The following is a 19,652-nucleotide window of genomic DNA, read 5'->3' on the forward strand; positions in this document are numbered from 1 at the left end:
GCATGTCCAGTGGCAAACATTAACAAGCTTAGATTCCTCAGAAATCAGGGCTACCCCTGACTAGCTGAGATCCCTGATGAAGGGAAAGGGAAATTTTGTAACGTCCATTAAGGAGAGCAATTACAGCTTTATGACCAGTCAGAAAAACAACAACTCTAACTTATATTTTTTTCTTGCTGTGTCATATGTATGTATTTTATAAATTGATGCAAAAGTAATTGTGGTTTTTGTCATTACTTTTAATTGCAAAAAGCCACAATTACTTTGGCGCCAACCTAATAATGAATTCTCCTTTCCTTTACATTTTTTTCTTCTACTATTTTATACAGGACAAACTAGTGATGGATAACTTAATAATTTAGTCCGTAAGATACAGAATGTTGAGATGAGATGGTGACAGAATTGGAGGAATGGCTATCACCCAGAGCTCCTGGGCTTGGAGCTGGACACAGAAAATGATGATCCTTTTGGGGGAAAGAGGGAATGTGTTTTTCTGTTTTCTTCCTTCCTTCCTTCCTTCCTTCCTTCCTTCCTTCCTTCCTTCCTTCCTTTCTCCTTCCTTCCTTTTTTCCCCTCCCTCCCTCCTTCCTTCCCTTCCTTCCCTTTCTTCCCTTCCTTCCTTCCTGATGGAGTCTCACTCTGTGGCCCAGGCTGGAGCTCAGTGGCGTAATCTCAGCTCACTGCAACCTCCGCCTCCTGGGTTCCAGCGATTCTTGTGCCTCAGCCTCCCTAGTAGCTGGGATTACAGGCATGTGCCACCACACCCGGCTAATTTTTGTATTTTTAGTAGAAACAGGGTTTCACTTGGTTGGCCAGGCTGGTCTCGAACTCCTGACTTCAGTTGATCCACCTGCCTTGGCCTCCCAAAGTGCTGGGATTACAGGTGTGAGCACCTGGCTTGGAATGCTTTTCAATTGTACAAGGGTTATTAAGTGGGAGCATCTTTATTGTATTTTCAGAATTGTAAAGATGATAAGAAACATTTGACACTAGGTAGTCAAAGAGGTGAACTGTTGTAGCCATCTGGCATTCTTTTTGTCTGCTTTGAAGTCATGATAAAGATGCTAGTTTTTCCTAAATCCATTCGCCCCTTCATCCATAATTACAGAACCATGGCTTTCAGCTGTGTACAATGCCACGTGGACTAAAACTACGTTTCCCAATCTCTTGTAGCCAGCTTGCTAGGGTAATTAAGTCCTAGCAATGAGCTAAAAGTGGATGCATTATGTGGTCTTTCTGGGAAGGCTCCAGAAACAGGAGAAAACAAGTGCTCTTTAGTCTTCCCCTGTTCCTCCTAACGCTGGCCTGGGATGTGGACTCAATGTCTGGAGAGCCAGTAGCCCTCCTGGATCATGAGGTAGAATCCATGCACACTGGAGGGAGAAATATCAGAGTCTGGACCTCTGTTGACAAACAATATTCCTTCAGTGTAATAAAATGTATACGGATGCTTTTCCAATGTGCCAGGGGAGAGACTGGTAAACAAGCCTAGTTTCTATCATAAGGACACATAAATAAGTGTGTTGCGGGGGAAACTAACAATCAGGCAAGGATATTAGGGAAGCACACAGGTGAAACACCTAGCCTAATCCTGAGAGTTTGGTGGGTGGAGAGTTCTGGAGAGGCTCTCTGCAGGAAGTTACACCCTCATGGATAGCTAGGAAGGACCAGCTGTTGGAGGAAAGGGCAGAATTTTCTTAGTCTAGGGGAGTCAGGAGGTGTTAACACTGCTTAACACCTTGGAAGAGATAAGGCAGGGAGGTAAGCTAGGGTAGGAGTTTAGACTCTAACCCCAGAACTATGAGGAGCAAGGGAAGGGCATTTAAGCACGGGAGTAAAGTGGCCAGGTGTTCTTTAGAGCGATCATTCCATCATTCCACTTGCGCTGTTCAGAACGGGGATTGAGGGGAACGAGATCAGAGGCGTGGAGCCCAATTCCGTATTTCCTCTTGAAATAGCGATAGGGAGAGAGGGAAAGGATAGAAAAACTGGAAAAGGAGCTCCACGCCAAAGGCACACTTGGCCCCAGTGAACCACCTGGAATACGCTGGGAGCGCTGTAACCACTAAGTAATTCTGAGCAAAAGCTAGGGTGGATTCTGGATATGCCAGGCCGTCTTTTGGAAAAAGAACACACAATTAGGCACGAAGTGGAGTAAGAAAAGAAATCACAATTACTGGAGCCTCGGAAATCCGAGTTTCTTCTGTTTACCAGAACCGCTTGCCCAGCAATGTTTCCAGAGGGCGCCCGGCTTTCCCTCTTTTCCCAGAGCACTCCCCAGCTCTCCCAAGACAAGGGTGGCGTGGTGCCCCGGGGCAAAGACTAAGTCGCTGTACAGCCTCGAGGAGCGAGCTGCTCAGCAAAAGCAAAAGAGAAGGGCTCTCGGGTGGCGGGGACAGACCCTCCTTCGGCATGGGTTGGATCGGACAAGGGGGGCCGTGTGCCGTCAGCTGCCCCACTTCTCTCTGAAGCCCAGTGGGCTCCATCCACTGACCCGCGGCCCGCGCGCCTCCCGGCACCGGCTACATCGCTGGGAGGTGAGGCGCTGGGAGCGCGTGAGGCTCTCCGGGAGAAAACAGCCCAGCTTGCATCCCAGAGGAGGCAGCAGCCGCAGGCACCGTCTATTTCCTCACTCAGTATACAAATTTGACCTCAAAAATACGAACCCTGTCTTTGGCATGTCTGCATTTAGAAATAAACATCATTCCAGACGCCGGCCAGTTCATAGCCACAGAGTCGTAAAGTTTTATTTTTAAAGGGGGGGACGGAAAGGACTTGTAAAGTTTTTTTTTTAAATTTGTTTTTAAATAAAGGAATTAACTTCTGCAAAACAAGCAATCAGCAGCAGAATGCGCGAGGCCACGAGTGCGATCCCCCGAGGCGCGGGGCGCGGCTGGGAAGTTTTGGGGGCGCGCGGCGCGGTGCCGGGACCGGGGAGGAGGCGCGCGGTTCTGGGGGCGCGCAGTGCGGGAGCGCGCGGCCCCGGGGATGGGGAAGGGGCCGGGGACGGGTAGCGCGCGGCCCCTGGGATGGGGAGGGGGCGGGAAGGGGGGAAGAGACGCGGGGCTCTGGGGGCCCGCAGTCTGGGAGCGCGCGGCCCCGGGGATGGGGAGGGGGCCGGGAGGAGGCGTGCGGCTCTGGGGGCGCGCACTGCGGGAGCGCGCGGTGGCGAGGATAGGGCGGGCCGGGGTTCGCGGGGCGAAGGCGCGCGGTGCCCGGGGGAGGGCGGGCCGGGGCGCGCGGGCCGGGGCGGGGGCGCGCGGGCCGGGGCGGGGGCGCGCGGGGCCGGTCGGCGCGCGGGGGCGGCGGGCGCGGCGCTGCCAATCGCAGACAAAGGCCGTCCCAGTGAATCATGTGGTGCCGGGGGAGGAAGTGCGGCTTGTTTTCTTTCCTCCAGTCTCGGGGCTGCAGGCTGAGCGCGATGCGCGGAGACCCCCGCGGGGGCGGCGGCGGCCGTGAGCCCCGATGAGGCCCGAGCGTCCCCGGCCGCGCGGCAGCGCCCCCGGCCCGATGGAGACCCCGCCGTGGGACCCAGCCCGCAACGACTCGCTGCCGCCCACGCTGACCCCGGCCGTGCCCCCCTACGTGAAGCTTGGCCTCACCGTCGTCTACACCGTGTTCTACGCGCTGCTCTTCGTGTTCATCTACGTGCAGCTCTGGCTGGTGCTGCGTTACCGCCACAAGCGGCTCAGCTACCAGAGCGTCTTCCTCTTTCTCTGCCTCTTCTGGGCCTCCCTGCGGACCGTCCTCTTCTCCTTCTACTTCAAAGACTTCGTGGCGGCCAATTCGCTCAGCCCCTTCGTCTTCTGGCTGCTCTACTGCTTCCCTGTGTGCCTGCAGTTTTTCACCCTCACGCTGATGAACTTGTACTTCACGCAGGTGAGTTTCAGAGAGGCTCCTGGAGGCGCTCACCTGGCGGGGTGGTCCCCGCGGGGCGCCCGAGGCAGGGGCGATGGCAGCCGCGGGGGCGGGTCCGGCCCTAGGGCTGAGAGTGTAGGGAGAAGGCGCCGGCTCTGGGGTCGTCCGAACCCTGTCCTGTTTGCGGGCATTTGTCATAGGAAACCCCCTGCCATTCCCAAAAGGGGCAAGGAGAAGGCAGGGGAGGGCTGGAGGCCGCCGCTCACTCGCTGCCCCTGGCTCCGCATCGTGCGGTGGATTCGGGGCGCTTCTCCGTGCGCAGCGCGAAGCAGCAGCGCCTGCACACGCCAGTTAGTACGGATGGAAGGTGTGCCCCCAAGGGAGGCCTGAACTCTAGAATTTGCCCTGCCTCCCCAGGCACCTAACTCCCGGCCTGGAAAGGTCTTCTGCACGTTGGCCTCCAGATTTGGGCCTGACACTGCTGTTTTGAGCGTTGGCAGGGTGAGACCATGTTGGTTTTGATGAGATGTTTTGAACCTCCGGCTTAGGAGCTCTACAGAACTGCGGCTTACTAACTCATTCCACCGGATTGCTAAACAGCAGGCTGGGGTAACACCCAGCTCCGAGCTGCTGCCGCTCATCAGAGTTACTGTCTGAGCTCATCTGAGAGGCCCCAAGAAAAGGCCATAAAAGCTGACTGGGGCTCTTTTACAGCCACACAAAAATCACTTTATGGGGCATATTATTAAATAAGCTAATGGGAGAGTATGTGAATTAACTTGGCTGCTGCTTTACTGCTGATGGTTGACTTAATGAAAGTGCAGTAATTGTTGAGCACTTTGCAAATACTTTGTATAGCGTTGCACAAAGGTTTAATAACGCGGTGCCGCCGTCATCATCGTCATCATCATCTCTGATTCCCATTAGCTTTCCAAGCACTAAGATGTCCATTTTCACTAGGACTCTGCCGAAGGGGAAGGCGTCAACGGTGTCACCTGGTGAGGGTAATTTCAGAACTGTCGGATGGGCAGAAACCCTGTGCAAGCAGGCATCTCATTCCTTTTAAGTGTCTTTTTTTTTTTTTTTGAGAAAAAGTCACTTATTTAAAAAAAGAAAGAGGCCGTATGCGGTGGCGCATGCCTGTCATCCCAGCATTGTGGAGGCGGAGGCGGGAGGATCGCTTGTGTCCCTGAGTTTGAGACCGGCCTGGGCAACATGGCGAAACTTCCTCTCTACAAAATGTACAAAAATTAGCTGGGTGTGGTAGTGCCCGCCTGTAGTTCCAGCTACTCAGGAGGCTGAGGTGGGAGGCGGAGCCCGGGAGGCGGAGGTTGCAGTGAGCAGAGATTGAACCACTGCACTCCAGCCTGGGTGACAGAGCTAGATCCTGTCTCAAAAAAACAAACGAACAAACAAACAAAAAAAACAAAGTAGGAAAAGGATTGCTCTGGTACAGTGGAAGCCACTGACTGAAAATATGGAAGAAGTACTTTTGGCTAAAAAATAGCATATGTGATATTTTGTAGATAGTATAATCTTTTAAAAATGGGTCTACACTCAGACTTCTTGTAAGTCCAGCGCATCAGCATATTTTCCGGTCGGAGAGTAATGCGTATTGCCTGTCCAAGTACAACCTTTAAACCTGCAAACCAGTTCAGGCAGTCGGCTGCATTGCACAGACACTTGGGTTTTGTAATTGAAATGAGGTGGTTCTAGCAAGATGCAAAAGACAGGTGAGGTGATGTTACCCTAAGAACTGTGACAATGGTGGTATTGCACGTTGAGCTCTTTATATTTGTCCCCTTTTTGGGGGGCAGTGGGGGAAGAGGAAAATGCAGGGAACTGCCACAGCTCTCTGGTAATCACATGCAAATTCTGAACTTAGAGCCGGATTAGGGGCCGGGCTGCACATTTTCTGCACCATCTGCTGGTTGGTGAGTAAATGCTGAGCAAGGGAAACAGTGACCAGGCAGACAGAGCCACTCCGGCCCAGGGGCCCAAAGTCACGGCCCTGTACTCTTTATATCTCCCAGGTCTGCGGGCACCACAGCAAAGGCTTTTCGCCTGAGGGCACAGGGTGGCTGGCTGGAGAAGGTGGCATGTCTCCATCTCTGAGTGCTGGCATCTCAGAGCCTGGCAGAACAAAGCCATTTCTGGCTTAGTGACAAAACTGTGATACTTCTGGGGAGTTATAAAGCCTTTTGTCGCCAACCCAGCTCTGCCTCCCTTCTCCTCCTCTCCCGCTCACCCCCTCTTTCTCTTACACAAACCATTGGAATTACCTAAAGTGGGGAGCTTTAAGAATGACTGTTGCTTGGGCCCCCATCTCAGACCAAGTAAATGAGATTTTTGGAGAAGGGGCTGACAGCTAACAATTAAGAAGTATGTTTAAGAAAGCATACTTTCGATCTCGGCTCACTGCAGCCTCCGCCTCCCGGGTTCAAATGATTCTCCTACCTCAGCCTCCTAAGTAGCTGGGACTACAGGTGTGTGCCACTATGCCCAGCTAAGTTTTGTATTTTTAGTAGAGACAGTGTTTCACCATGTTGACCAGGATGGTCTTGATCTCTTGACCTTGTGATCTGTCCACCTCGGCCTCCCAAAGTGCTGGGATTACAGGTGTGAGCCACCGCACCCGGCCAAGAAAGCACACTTCTAAGCAATTGGTTATATTTATTTTTACCAGAACTCTCTGAAGAAAGTACCGGTATTGTCCCCATTTTCCAGAGGAGGAAACTGAGGCTGAGAGGTCGTAGATGACTTGCTCAAGGTCACACTGTCAGTGCATGGTGGAGCTGGGATTCAACACACATCTGTGCTGTCTGAGTGTGAGGTTTGTCTTTTATGTACAGTATGTGAAACCTCTTTTTATTTTATTTTTTGAGATAGAGCCTTGCTTTGTGGTGATCTGGGTTCACTGCAACCTCTGCCTCCTGGATTCAAGCGATTCTCCTGCCTCAGCCTCCCGAGTATCTGGGATTACAGGCACCTGCCACTGCACCTGGCTAATTTTTGTATTTTTAGTAGAGATGGAGTTTTGCCATGTTGGCCAGGTTGGTCTCAAACTCCTGACCTCAAGTAATCTGCCCACCTCGGCCTCCCAAAGTGCCGTGATTACAGGTGTGAGCCACCGCGCCTGGCCATGAAACCTCTTAACAATGGGAAAACATACCCAACTCTAAATCTAACCTCGTGTTCTCCTGGAGCGCAAAATCAGGTTGCAGAGAATCAAAGTATACATACAGCACAGTTAAGGCACGATTTGCGGCACTGAAGGGAATGGTTATTGAAGCGTCAGGAGACTTGAATGAGACATGAGTCCTCTGAGAAGAAGCAGGTGTCTGGAGGCTGAAGCTGGGTGGGGAGGAAGAGAGGATGGTGGGAAGGAAGTCGTGGGGGCAGTTTGGGAATTGGGAATGAACTGGAAGGAGAGGTCCGAGATGGGGAGGAAGCTTTTTTCTGTTGTTGTCAGTCCTTTGTGCTTTTGCAGGGTCCCTGTACCTGGGCCTTACTCATCTCACCCTCCCTGGTGACCCAGAGGGTACTGTTACCCCCCAACTGAGGCTCGGAGGGGTGAGAACACTTGCCCACACTGCCCCGTCCGAGCCTCCGTGCAATGCACACGATGCTGCAGTACGCAGCCCCGGCTGCCCTTGGGTACACATCTGAGGGTAATGCGATCATGAGCAAGCTCAATTTGATTAACTTACCCCTAAATCACTGCTTTTAAATTCTGCCATGTTAAGTCTCTTTCCACCCCTAATGACCTCTCAGGCAGATCCTATGGCTTTCTAGTCATACTCGGTAATTATTATTATTTTGGAGTCTGGCTCTGTCACCCAGGCCGCAGTAGTGTGATCTTGGCTCACTGCAACCTCCGCCTCCCAGATTCAAGCAGTTCTCCTGCCTCGGCCTCCTTAGTAGCTGAGATTACAGGTGTGCGCCACCACGCCTGGCTAATTTCTGTATTTTCAGTAGAGACAGGGTTTCACCATCTTGGCCAGGCTGGTTTTGAACTCCTGACCTCAGGTGATCTGCCTACCTCGGCTTCCCAAAGTGCTGGGATTGCAGGCGTGAGCCACTGTGCCTGGCCCATACTCCTTTATTAAATCTTTACGTCTGATTTAAAGCTTCTCCCACACTGTCCAAGGCCAGCCAGGCTTCGAGCTGCAGGGCTTGGTGCAGAGGGTGTGCCCATGCTCTCAGCCTCTCCCCTTCCATCTTCCCAGGCAGCCCAGGGGAGGGGCACACTCTCTCGTGACTGCCAGCGTGTCGGCCTCTGGTCTTGCTCTGGCGCCGCCTCTGTGGGTAACTGCCACGTGGCCATGTTGACATGATGGACTTCAGCTTCTTCCTAGCCCCATCTTTGGTCTCCCTTCCATCCCAATTCCTTCTTCAGGGGGCAGCCACATGGCTTTAGGCCCCTTTTCGAAAAGCCCTTTTAGGGCTTTTTCTTAGAAAGCCATGGGATCACTGAGGCCCCTCCACTCCCACTTGGCCACATGGGTGACAGGCTGGATGCCTAACTAGCGTCTTCAGGACCCTGCACCTGGCTGCTTTTCACTCCTTGCGTGCCTAGGGGCCCTCCCACCTGTAAAAATCCCAGGTGGAAGCAAGCATCACCCTCCAAGTGCCTGGTGCCTCCAGATCACCAGGGCACAGGTCAGGCTCCACCGGGACTCCACCTGCAAACAGTCCCAGCTCAGCAAGCATCTGCCCGGGCCCCCTTCCTGCCCAATCCCTGTGAGCAGTGTCCATGTGTCTTTCTCCTTTCTGACCTGGGGTGAGGTGCCCTGCTGGTAGCAGGCTGTTAACTCTTTTTCTCCATCTCCACTCTCCACCTTCCAGTTCAGCCTGGGAACATGGGGAGGCGGCTGTGGTAGGACTGGTTCTGCTAACTCTCTCCGGGCCGTCTGTATGCAGTGTCTGTCTGGCCCCAAATGTTTGGAACATGGAGTGCTGACTACCTGTTGTTTCCAGCTGTGGCTCCTTGTGCCAGCTTTGGGGAACAGCTGAGCTTCTGCTCCCGGCTGCATGAGGAAGTGGCGGGACCAAGGCTTTGCACCAAGGCCTTTGACTCAGAGCCTGTTCTAAGCGCTGTGTCAAATCACCATTTTAGTGGGGACTTAGGAGAGGGGCAGGACTCTGAAACCTAAGGCAGGCAGGGGTCTCTGCTCATGAGGAATTATGGTGCCTTCTACCTCCAGGTTTCAGGATAGAGGCTCAGAAGCAAAGGCGGTAGCTTCTGTGCCCAGGCAGCTCCTGGGCAGACAGGTCTGTGCCCTGCAGGGGCAGAAGTTGATGTGGCGGTGGGCTCGGTGACACCTCGGCAGCCACGTATCCCAGCCCTTCTTCCTCGGAATTCCCAGCCTGGAACTCAGACTCTCCAGATTCCCGAGTTTGGCAGGATGGAACAGGCTGGTTCAGCTTTGTCTTGGGCCCTATGACAAACTCCTGCCATTGCAGTCACATGGTTTGCGGAAGGAAATGGAGAAGCGAGTTCTCTCCATGGGGAGAGGTGCTGTGATGAATGGACACTGATGTGGGAACTGAGACCTGAGACGTCACCATGCCTTGGAGGGCAGATGGGAAGCTGACATTTATCGGGGTCTGGTCTGTTCTGTTCTGAAACTCAGCTAGGGACTTCCACACCCTCCACTCAGCTGCAGCAGGGATGGTTCGTGAGTCATGTGGTCCTGTGGGATGGTGCCAGGGGCTCGTGGTGAGGGCCTGCGGCTCATGGTAGGGGCTCATAGTCGGTGTTGGGAGCTCATCATGGGCACTAGGCCAGCAAAGCCTTATGAATGAGGAGGCAGCCCTGGGAGTGAAGGAGCAGGGTCCCTGGGTGCAGATCTGGGTTCCAATCCGGGCTTTGCCTCCAGTGTGGGTCCCATGGCTGGTTACCACCTCTCTAAGGCTGCTGCTTCACCAGGGAGACAGAAACTGTAATACTCATCCCATGGGTCGGAGTGGGTTAAAGGAGATGCCGTGTGTCCTGAATCCCTTTGCTCCTCTCCTCCCTTAGTTGAGATTCTCACTGTGTGTTGCCTACAGCTCTGAACCTAGGCTCTTGCTTCGACACCCAGCCACTGTCCTGAAGGTCAGGTCCCCGGGCTGACCCTGCCCTTTTCCAGCCTACTGTGCCATCAAAATTACTTTTCCACCAAACAGCAGCTTTTCTGTTTGTAAAACGGTGGTGACTCTTGGCGCACCCGTAGGGAGCATGTGGCAAGCCTAATCGCAGTGCCTGACATGAGAGCAGAAGGCACTGGGGGTCCAGCAGCCCAGCCCCTCCTTTGCAGATGAGCCGACCAGAGGAGGAAATTCTCCCAGGCAGCCCAGCCAGGCGTGCAGAGGCAGGACAAGTCCCGTGTTTCAGGCTGACCGATCCGTGCTTGCTACAGACGCCACACTCTGACTTGAAGTGGGTCATAGTCCTCATTCTTGCTGGTAGGGAACTAAGAGGCCCCTAAAAGTCGAATCCAGGAACTAGTCCTCCGTGCTCACCAGGAAAGGGACGTGGGTGATTGTAGGAGTAAGGGGCTTCGGCTGTGGCTCTTGGCGGTCAGTTTAGTCAAGACGTGTTTATCAAATACCTGTCGTGTGGCAGGCCCTAGTCTAGGAGTTGTGAAGAGGGAAGCTTCTAGGCCTTTTGGTGATTGTAAAGAAGTAAGAGGCTTAGGAAACAGACAAGGCGGGCCAAGGGCAAGGACTGTGCTCAGCCTGGCCTCTGGGCCCTGCGCCCATGGCCTCAGCCCCTGGCACCGGCTCCCTGCGGAGCTAGCTCAGTGGGCTCATGGCCAGCCAGAGTTGTGTGTGCACCTAGGTGTGCGCCTTTGTATGTGTATGTGCATGTGTGCCTGTGTGCACCTGTGTGTATGTACATGTGTGCCTGTGCACGTGTGGCTGCGTGCACCTGTGTGTGTATGTGCATATGCGTGTGTGCCTGTGTGCACCTGTGTGTGTGTGGGGTTTGTGTATGTGTGCCTGTGTGTGTGCCTGTGTGTGTACCTGTGTGTGTGTGTGCCTGCCTCTGTGTGCCTGTGTCTGTGTGGGTCTCTGAGTGTCTGTGCATGTGTGTGTCTGTGCCTGTGTATGTCTGTGCCTGCGTGTGCCTGTGTGTGTGCCTCTGTTTGTGTCTGTGCATGTGTGTGCCCGTTTGTGTTTGTGTGTGTCTGTGTGCCTGTGTGTGTGTCTGTGCCTGTGTGTGCCTGTGTATGTCTGTGCCCGTGTGTGTGCCTGTGTTTGTGTGTGTCTGTGCCTGTGTGTGTCTTTGCCTGTGTTTGTGTGTATGTGCCTGTGTGTGTGTCTGTGCATGTGTGTGCCTGTGTGTGTGGAAAGGTTTCCTTATTTTCTTGGTCTGCCGTTCACCCCCAGCACCTCCCGCAGGCCACTTTCTAAACATACAGCCCAGTTTCCCGAGCCCTCTCCTCGAGCCATGGCAGCGTGCTCTTCTCTCTGCAGCTGAGGCTGTGACCGCATCAGTGCCTCGGTGATGCCCTGCCAACCGAGGGGGAACTAAATCCTGTTAATGCCCTCAGCACTCGGGGAACAATTAGGCCCCTCACAGCACATTCAGCATCCAACCCCAGTGACCATGCAGGAAGCCTGGACTTCCCCACAGCAGAGGCTGGGCTGAGGCTGCTGCCGGGTCACCATCAGGAGCGCCCTACTGTCGGCTCCGAACACTGTGGCACCTGCAGGCTTTGCTACGGCTTCTTGCTCACCTGCCTTTCCGTAGTCAGACAGGCAGAACTGGTAGTGACCAGCAGGGAGGCAGGGCCGGAGCACTGTCCTGAGGCTAGTGCAGGTTCTCAGTGGAGTTCCAGGGCCCAGCCATGGCTGTCCCGCTGCTGCTGTGCCCACCCTCTGAGCCCCAGGCTAGCTGCTCAGCGTTGAGTGGCGGGGAGTGGAGGGCAGGGGTCATGACAGTGAGGGGTGGGCTGCCCAGAGAGGAACATTTGCAAGATCCAAGACCCTCTACAAAATCTCACTGCAAGCGTCTTAGGGTTTTGCAAACAACAAAGTCATGTGATCCCAAGAGCCGCTTTTGTCAGGCTGTTCCTGTTGGCCTTGCGTTTCCAGTGAGAAGAAGAAAGCTGGTTCCTGGTTGGAAGGTCTGTCTGGGTCCTGACATTTTGGCCGGCCAGTTCTCTCAGTACAGAAATAGCCCCAGCAGACTGTTTAGACAGTACCTGGGACAACAGGCATTCCCCGAGGGCTGCAGAGGCTCATAAATATTTCACTTTTTATGTTTCCTGCAGCTGAAGCTTAGAGTCCATTAACCTATAAGGACAGATGAAGCCCAAATGGTTTTACTCTGCAAGTGGGTTGATTACCTCAAGCTTATGTGGGTCAGGATTTTAGGCCTGTGAGCCACATATGGTCTCTGTTGCATATTCATTTTTTTTTTTTTTTTTTTTTTTTGAGACAGAGTCTTGCTCTGTCGCCAAGCTGGAGTGCAGTGGCGCAATCTCGGCTCACTGCAACATCTGCCTCCCAGGTTCAAGTGATTCTCCTGCCACAGCCTCCCGAGTAGCTGGGACTACAGGTGCCCGCCACCATGCCCAGCTAATTTTTGTATTTTTAGTAGAGACGGGGTTTCACAATGTTGGCCAGGATGATCTCGATCTCTTGACCTCATGATCCGCCTGCCTCGGCCTTCCAAAGTGCTGGGATTACAGGCGTGAGCCACTGCGCCCGGCCTCCCTCCTCGATTTTTAAATGGCATACACACTTGCGAGGCTGAGCTACGCAGTCTGCAAAACACAGGGTGAAAAAACCCCCATACACGGTGGGGTTGGCTCTGTGGGCTGCTCCCACCCCATAGGCTACTCTCCCTGTCACCTTGGACTCTGCTGCCACAGCTTCTTTGTAGCTGTCAGAGGTCATGTTGTCCCATCAGGCTGTGTGACGGTCCATTTTTAGTGCATGAGTGGTGGCAGATAAGGAGGGAAGTGGGCAGGGTGTGAGCAACCTTGGCGTGCCGTGAGCCTGGCCCCATCAGGCCCACACTCATTTTCTGGGAAGACAGCACACATCTATCCATGCGAGAGGGCCTCGTCCTCCCAGCTTTCACAAAGCAACATAAAGTTCAACTGGAACATGGCGATTCATTTCATTTATTCAACAGGTGTTTTTTTTTAAATTAAAAAAATTGTATTGTCTGGGTGTGGTGAATTACACCTGTAATCCCAACACTTTGGGAGGACGAGGCAGGAGGTTCGCTTGAGCCCAGGAGTTCAAGACTATCCTGGGCAATATAGTGAGATCTCATCTGTACAAAAAATTAAAAAATTAGCCAAGCATAGTGGCATGCACCTGTAATCCCAGCTACTCAAGAGGCTGAGGTGGGAGGATTGCTTGAACTTGGGAGGTCAAGGCTGCAGTGAGCTGAGATCGCACCACTGCATTCTAGCCTGGGTGATAGAGCGAGACCTGTCTCAAAAAAATGTATTGGGGCTGGACACAGTGGCTTATGCCTGTAATCCCAGCACTTTGGGAGGCCGAGGCGGGTGGATCATCTGAGGTCAGTAGTTCAGACCACCCTGGCCAACACGGTGAAACCCCATCTCTACCAAAAATACAAAAATTAGCTAGGCGTGGTGGGCGCCTGTAATCCCAGCCATTGAGGAGGCTGAGACAGGAGAATTGCTTGAATCCGGGAGGCAGAGGTTGCAGTGAGCCAAGATCGCACCGTTGCACTGTAACCTGGGTGACAAGAGTGAAACTCCATCTCAAAAAGAAAAACAATGTATTGGGCTAGGTGCAGTGGATCACGTCTATAATCCCAGCACTTTGGGAGGCTGAGGTGGGTGGATCATGAGGTCAGGAGTTCGAGACCAGCCTGGCCAACATGGTGAAACCCCATCTCTACTAAAAATACAAAAATTAGCTGGGTGCAGTGGCGGGCGCCTGTAATCCCAGCTACTCAGGAGGCTGAGGCAGGAGAATTGCTTGAACCTGGGAGGCGGAGGATGCAGTGAGCCGAGATGACACCACTGCACTCCAGGCTGGGAGACAGAGCAATACTCCATCTCGGGGAAAAAAAAAAAAAGAAACAAACAAAAACAGACAAAAAACCAAATAAAAAAAAGACGTATTGAAGCAAAATTGACACAATATGAAATTAACCATTGAATGCATGCAGCTGAGTGATGTTCAGTACATTCACAGTATTGCGCAGCTGTCACCTCTATCTAGGTCCAGAACATTTTTATCACCCCCAAAGGAAACTTTATGCCCATTAAGCAATCACTACTCAGTCCCTGTTGCCTCAGCCCCTGGCAGCCACCCATCTGCTTTCTATCTCTGCAGATTTACCTATCCTTAATATTTCATATCAAAGGAATCATACAATGTGTATTCTTGTACGTCTTCTCCTTTCTCCTAGCATAGTGTTTTGAGGTTCATCACATTGTAACATTTATCAGAACTTCATTCCTTTATAAGGTTAAATAATATTGTGCTGCATGGATAGAGACTACATTTTATTTATCCATTCATCCGTTGATGGACATTTAGGTTGTTTCATCATGCGCGTTTGAGTGCTTGTTGTGTGCCAGACACTGTGCAGACTGTTTAAGGTCAAACTTAGATTCTCGCTGCGTGGAACTTAGCCTTGAGCAAGGAAAACAGACTTCATGTCAACGACTTCTCCATTGTGCGATTGACTGGCTGATGTGACTTAGTGGCTGTCCTTACAGTAGAGATATGAAGTGTGAGATGTTTTCAGTGGAAAGTTGAAGACTTAATTCATTCCTTCATCTCTGTGAGTCCCCCTCTAGGATACATGCTTTAAAAAGAACCAGTGGTTTTTGCTGCTATTTAAATGAAAGTCAAATCCAATTTAAAAATCTCACTGTAATGAAATCAAAATATTTCCCAAACACAGGTATTCACTGTGAAGCGATGCCAGGATGGCTGTGGAGGGAACTTCTTGGTGGAAGTCGTCACCTGTGACTTGGGCTGTTGGGTTTCCACCCACCATTGCCCTGGTCCTGCTCCTAGGGCCCCTTCCTTGGGTGCCACTGGGAGGTGAAGGCTTAGGTTTAGGTTGACATAGCAGGTGTATTCTCACCAGAACCAGATTCTGGGGCAACCAAGTTGGGCCCCTGGCTAGTCTTGGGTTTTGTGTGTGGAAGCCCCCAGACTCCGTGTCCTCCTGGGCCCTGCTCCAGGTTAAGCTGGAATTTCTGGTCTGCCTGGGTTTGTTCTCAGCGAATCGTGGGGTCCAGACCAACATGAGGATGGAAGGGTGGTGCTGGGTAACTCCCACCCTGCGCCCTGGGGCTGTGAACAGCACGCGTCATCCGTCCCCCGAGGACACACGGCCTGTCACGGCTTTGACAGCATATATTGTGTCTTCCCCGAGTTCTCTCTGCTTGGGGTCAGCTAGTCCCAGTTTTTTTCAGTATTCCTGGAGGAACGTGGGTGTGTCCTCTGCCATCCTGGTTGCTGTTCCCGAAGGCCCCAGTGAGCTGGGACAGTGTCAGGAGCAGACCAAGTCCCCACCCCTAGTGAGGAGCTTCCCCCGTTACCCACATAGCTTCCCCTCGAGGAGGCCAGATGGTCATTCTCTCGGTGGCAGGACACAGGGAGTGTCATTTAATACCAGACACGTCCAGCAAGGGCAGGAGTTCCCAGGGCATCCTAAAACCTCAGAATTCTCCTCACTTCTGAAGCAGAAAGTTATTCTGTGAGGAGGGGCAAAAACAAACTGGGGTACTTTCCCTGCGAATTTATTTTGTAGTTTTTGCATCGTTTGCCAGCAAGGATCAGGGCACGATGGTACGACACTGCACACTGCCGCACGTGGCCCGGGACCCTCCTGCCATAGGGCCCAGTGGGCCAGCGCTGGCCACCGGGAGAAATGCATCCTCTGTGCTTCTAATGTGTCACCTTCCTTAAGTACATTTAGAACAATTAGGGGCAGGGCCCTGGCTGGTAAACTGTGAACTGCAATTTGTGGTTAAGCAGTTAAGAAACATAACAGTGATGGTAGGGCCTTGTGTGGCCACAGCCCTTGTCATTCCCAAGGCCAAAGAGAGAGAATCCTGCCAGGGAGGCAGGTCAGAATTATTTGCCTCCACCTCTGTGCGGAACTGATGCCGAGACGGACTCCACCCAGGCAGTGGGCAGGCGGGCAGGTCCGTGCGCTTCTGTGGCTGAAGCGGCCGGGCCGCAGCTATTCCTGCGGGGCTTCCAGGGCGGAGGACACGGGCTGACACGGGCTGTCCCTGGGAAGGAACTTCAAGTCATGGAGCTGTCAAAGTAGAAGCAGCTTAATGAATATTTGTCCTAATGCTTTCACCTCGCAGATAGACACTGAGGCCTAGAAAGGTCGATGGAGCTAACCAGGAACCAACAAAGTAGGTTCCTGAGGGTTGACCAGCCTCACCCCTGAATCCAGGTGCTCAGGGGACAAGAGACAATTCAGAAAAGCAGGGAGACTGAAGGACGGCGTTTGGTGTGGCTTTAGGTTGACTTGGAGAGCCGCAAAGGGTGTGGGTGGGAGGTGTGCTCTCTAGAGTCCCGTCTCCTCGCGGGCTGCCTGCTGGGCTGACTTATCAATGTGGGGGCTCAGGGCCACCCTGAGTTCTGCCTTCTGGGTGGCCAGCCTGTGTTGGCGCCGTTGGATGGAGTGAAGCTCAGTTTATGAGGCTCAGGGAGGCTCTCGTGAGCCGATGGAGGGGTGGAGGAGGGGAGAGGTGCTTGCTGCCCGGAGAGCTGAGCTGCTGGGAACAGGAAGGAGAAGAGGAGCTGTTGGGAAGGGGGACAGTGAGTGGAGATGCCCTTTATCTATAAAGGTAAAGACTGTTATCCCATTATCACTTATGAAATGAGGAATGCCTTGTGAGGACCAAGGTAGGGACATCCTGGGTGGGAGCTGAGCTCCTGCCTTGTGGGGTGCACATGCACAAACATGCACACACATACACAAACGCACACACATGCACACACACGCGCGCGCGCAAACACACATGCATACACCTGAGGAAGGATCATAGGCGCCAGGTGAGCCAAACAGGACCATGCAGCGGAGCTCTCAGGAGGGCTGGAGAAGGCTGCAAACACATCCAGGGAGCTCCGAGGTCTATGGAAATCCAGAGAAGCAATTATGGTTGGCTTCTGATCACGTGGGAAGAAGCTCACTGAAGTCTGGGGGGCCCACATTCCAAGGGCCAGCACGAGGCCAGGAGCAGGCAGGACCAGCTTCTTGGGCCACATGCTTGCCAAAGTCAAAGGTGGGAGGTGATGCGGTGAACACCTGACCATGTATTCCAGTGACCCCTCTCACACCTGGCCAGCCTGGGACACAGACCAGGCACACCTTGGCTTCAGGCCACCGCCTCCCAGAACTTTATGGCATGGACAGCGTGCTTGCTTGCCTTTTCTGGCCAGTTACCTTCACTGCCACGGACACAGGACTATGAGTGGGGCTGTGGTGGTGGTTATCCAGGTCCTGAGTCCCTGGACCTATAGCCCACAGCTGACGTTTGGAAGAAAAGAACATCCTAACGCAGGCATAGAGGCCCCGCCCTTGCTCGCACTGTCTTGGAGACTGAGCCTCAAATGCAGATCCCCTCCCCGCCGCAGAGCCGCCTTGTGTGTCTTCCGGGAACCCTGCAGAAAGGAGAACTCCGGTGTCTGGATTTCGGGGACCGACTGTCTTGTCACCCTGCTCTGCTGAGTGAGGATGCTCAGCATGTGGGAACAGACTGAAGCAGCTGACTAATGACTGTTGCCTGGGGAGACCAGGGCCCTGGGGTTTGCATAATTTCCCCAATATATCAGGAAGTGGGTAGCGCAGAGGGACCAGGAGAGCAAATATCGAATGCGTCAGTGGTTCTTAACCTTTTTCAGTATGAAAGTTCCTTTTATGGTTAGGATAGCATCTGTGGTCACAGTTTAGTAGCTGTGCGTTTAGAATCATGGTTTGCGAACATAGATGAGGACTAATAATACCAACAGCAGGGGTTGCAGCCACCCACGTGGTACTTACTAGGCGGCAGGCATTTGTCCAGGTGCTCTACATGTCTATTAATTCACCAAATGCTTAGGAAAACCTGGTGGCTGGTGTTATTAGTCTCATTTTACAGGTGAGGTACTTGAGGCACAGAGCAGGCAGGTGACTTTTCCAAGGCCACACAGCTGATAATTGGTAGAGCCAGGATTCAACCCCAGGTAAGCCAGCTCCAGATTCCACACTTTTTTTTTTTTTTTTGAGACGGAGTCCCGCTCAGTCGCCCAGGCTGGAGTGCAGTGGCGCGATCTCTGCTCACTGCAAGCTCCGCCTCCTGGTTCACGCCATTCTCCTGCCTCAGTCTCCCCAGTGGCTGGGACTACAGGCGCCCGCCACCACGCCCGGCTAATTTTTTGTATTTTTAGTAGAGACAGGGTTTCACCGTGTTAGCCAGGATGGTCTTGATCTCCTGACCTCATGATCCGCCTCCCCCACCTCCCAAAGTGCTGGGATTACAGGCGTGAGCCACTGTGCCCGGCCCGATTCCACACACTTAGCCATCCTTCTGTGTCCCTCTGTCAGAGAGGGCTACCGGTTGTGGCCTGTTATATAGGAGTAGCGTCGTCTGTCAGTATATGTGGGGGACTGGTTCCAGGACCCCCAAGTATGCTCAGAGCCCCACATACTCACATCCCTGTAGAACCTGCATGTACAAAGAGTTGGTCCTCCTTATATTCAGGTTTTACGTCCTGAGAACATCGTAGTTTTGATTCCCATTCAGTTGAAAAAAATCCATGTATAGATGCGCCCATGCAGTTCAAACCCATGCTGCCCAGGGGCCAACTGCACTGTGCCTTAGTGAAGATGCATGAGCTAGAACTGTGTGTATCAACATAGATACCTTCCAAACACATAGTCATGAGGGAATAAACAAACTGCAGAAGGTTATGGAAGGTATTAATGCATTCATATAAAGTGCAAAACCATACTGGACGGTACTCTGTATCTTTCACGAATCCAGATTTACCTAGTGAAAGCCTGCCTAGCCATAAAAACACCAAATTCAGGATAGTGATTACTTTCCTGGGAGCAAATGGCACCAGGAGGGGGCAGGCTGGGAGCTCCAGCTGTGTCATTTTTATTTATTAAACCACAGCTGGGGCTGGGCATGGTGGCTTATGCCTGTAATCCCAACACTTTGAGAGGCTGAGGTGGGTGGATCACCTGAGGTCAGGAGTTCAAGACCAACCTGGCCAAAATGGTGAAACCCCTGTCTCTACTAAAAATACAAAGATTTGCCGGGTGTGGTTGCACGTGCCTATAATCCCAGCTACTCGGGAGGCTGAGGCACGAGAATCGCTTGAACCCGGGAGACAAGGTTGCAGTGAGCCGAGATGGCACCACTGCGCTCCAGCCTAGGCAACAAAAGTGAAACTCTGTCTCAGAAACAAACAAACAAAACATAGCTGGAGCAAACGTGGCAAAGTATTAAGGATGGAGTGCTGGGTGCATGAGTATTTGCTGTTATTTCTTTGTATATACATAAATTATTTTATAATATAAAGTTTCAACCTGCCATGCATTTGTAACATTTTCAGATGAATTTGCATACATACGTTTTGAACCAGCGTGTGTGATAGAGACTGGTTTCTTTAGTCAGGAGTCTGTGCTTGGTGCACTAAGAGTTTCAGTCCCCCTCAGTTACTGCGAGGGTCTCCTCAGGAGTCTCAGCCCACAGGCAGCTAGGATCAGGATGCACCCCCTTTTAAGGATAGGGGGATTATGAAGTGTCCAGAGAGTGGTGGCACAGAAGTGGAGACACTAGGGT

General features: G+C 52.7%; 1 protein-coding gene across 2 annotated transcripts in view, besides 7 other annotated features; it reads left to right on the top strand.

Annotated features, from left to right (window-relative positions):
* Positions 3,121 to 3,300: a silencer, noted in NCBI's record as "silent region_1997". NCBI's record gives its function as "represses an Ori minimal core promoter by ATAC-STARR-seq in GM12878 lymphoblastoid cells {active_cell/tissue: GM12878}" and the evidence as "EXISTENCE:reporter gene assay evidence [ECO:0000049][PMID:35858748]".
* Positions 3,371 to 3,640: a silencer, noted in NCBI's record as "silent region_1998". NCBI's record gives its function as "represses an Ori minimal core promoter by ATAC-STARR-seq in GM12878 lymphoblastoid cells {active_cell/tissue: GM12878}" and the evidence as "EXISTENCE:reporter gene assay evidence [ECO:0000049][PMID:35858748]".
* The window catches only part of GPR137B (G protein-coupled receptor 137B), a 66,369-nt gene continuing 50,098 nt past the window's right edge, over positions 3,382 to 19,652 (top strand). For both annotated transcript variants that reach the window (NM_003272.4, XM_017002209.3), the window contains exon 1: positions 3,382 to 3,879. In NM_003272.4, coding sequence (NP_003263.1) covers positions 3,466 to 3,879 — 414 coding nt within the window. In that variant the 5' untranslated portion in view covers positions 3,382 to 3,465. The remainder of the gene's footprint in view (positions 3,880 to 19,652) is intronic.
* Positions 3,606 to 4,109: an enhancer, noted in NCBI's record as "H3K4me1 hESC enhancer chr1:236306063-236306566 (GRCh37/hg19 assembly coordinates)". NCBI's record gives its function as "activates a minimal SCP1, AML or CMV promoter by ChIP-STARR-seq in naive H9 embryonic stem cells {active_cell/tissue: H9 hESC(naive)}" and the evidence as "EXISTENCE:reporter gene assay evidence [ECO:0000049][PMID:30033119]".
* Positions 11,256 to 12,024: an enhancer, noted in NCBI's record as "H3K4me1 hESC enhancer chr1:236313713-236314481 (GRCh37/hg19 assembly coordinates)". NCBI's record gives its function as "activates a minimal SCP1, AML or CMV promoter by ChIP-STARR-seq in naive H9 embryonic stem cells {active_cell/tissue: H9 hESC(naive)}" and the evidence as "EXISTENCE:reporter gene assay evidence [ECO:0000049][PMID:30033119]".
* Positions 17,365 to 17,424: an enhancer, noted in NCBI's record as "active region_2814". NCBI's record gives its function as "activates an Ori minimal core promoter by ATAC-STARR-seq in GM12878 lymphoblastoid cells {active_cell/tissue: GM12878}" and the evidence as "EXISTENCE:reporter gene assay evidence [ECO:0000049][PMID:35858748]".
* Positions 17,625 to 17,734: an enhancer, noted in NCBI's record as "active region_2815". NCBI's record gives its function as "activates an Ori minimal core promoter by ATAC-STARR-seq in GM12878 lymphoblastoid cells {active_cell/tissue: GM12878}" and the evidence as "EXISTENCE:reporter gene assay evidence [ECO:0000049][PMID:35858748]".
* Positions 19,414 to 19,463: a silencer, noted in NCBI's record as "silent region_1999". NCBI's record gives its function as "represses an Ori minimal core promoter by ATAC-STARR-seq in GM12878 lymphoblastoid cells {active_cell/tissue: GM12878}" and the evidence as "EXISTENCE:reporter gene assay evidence [ECO:0000049][PMID:35858748]".

The sequence above is a fragment of the Homo sapiens genome, chromosome 1 (genome assembly GCF_000001405.40).
Source record: "Homo sapiens chromosome 1, GRCh38.p14 Primary Assembly".
In the NCBI taxonomy this organism is placed as follows: domain Eukaryota; kingdom Metazoa; phylum Chordata; class Mammalia; order Primates; family Hominidae; genus Homo; species Homo sapiens.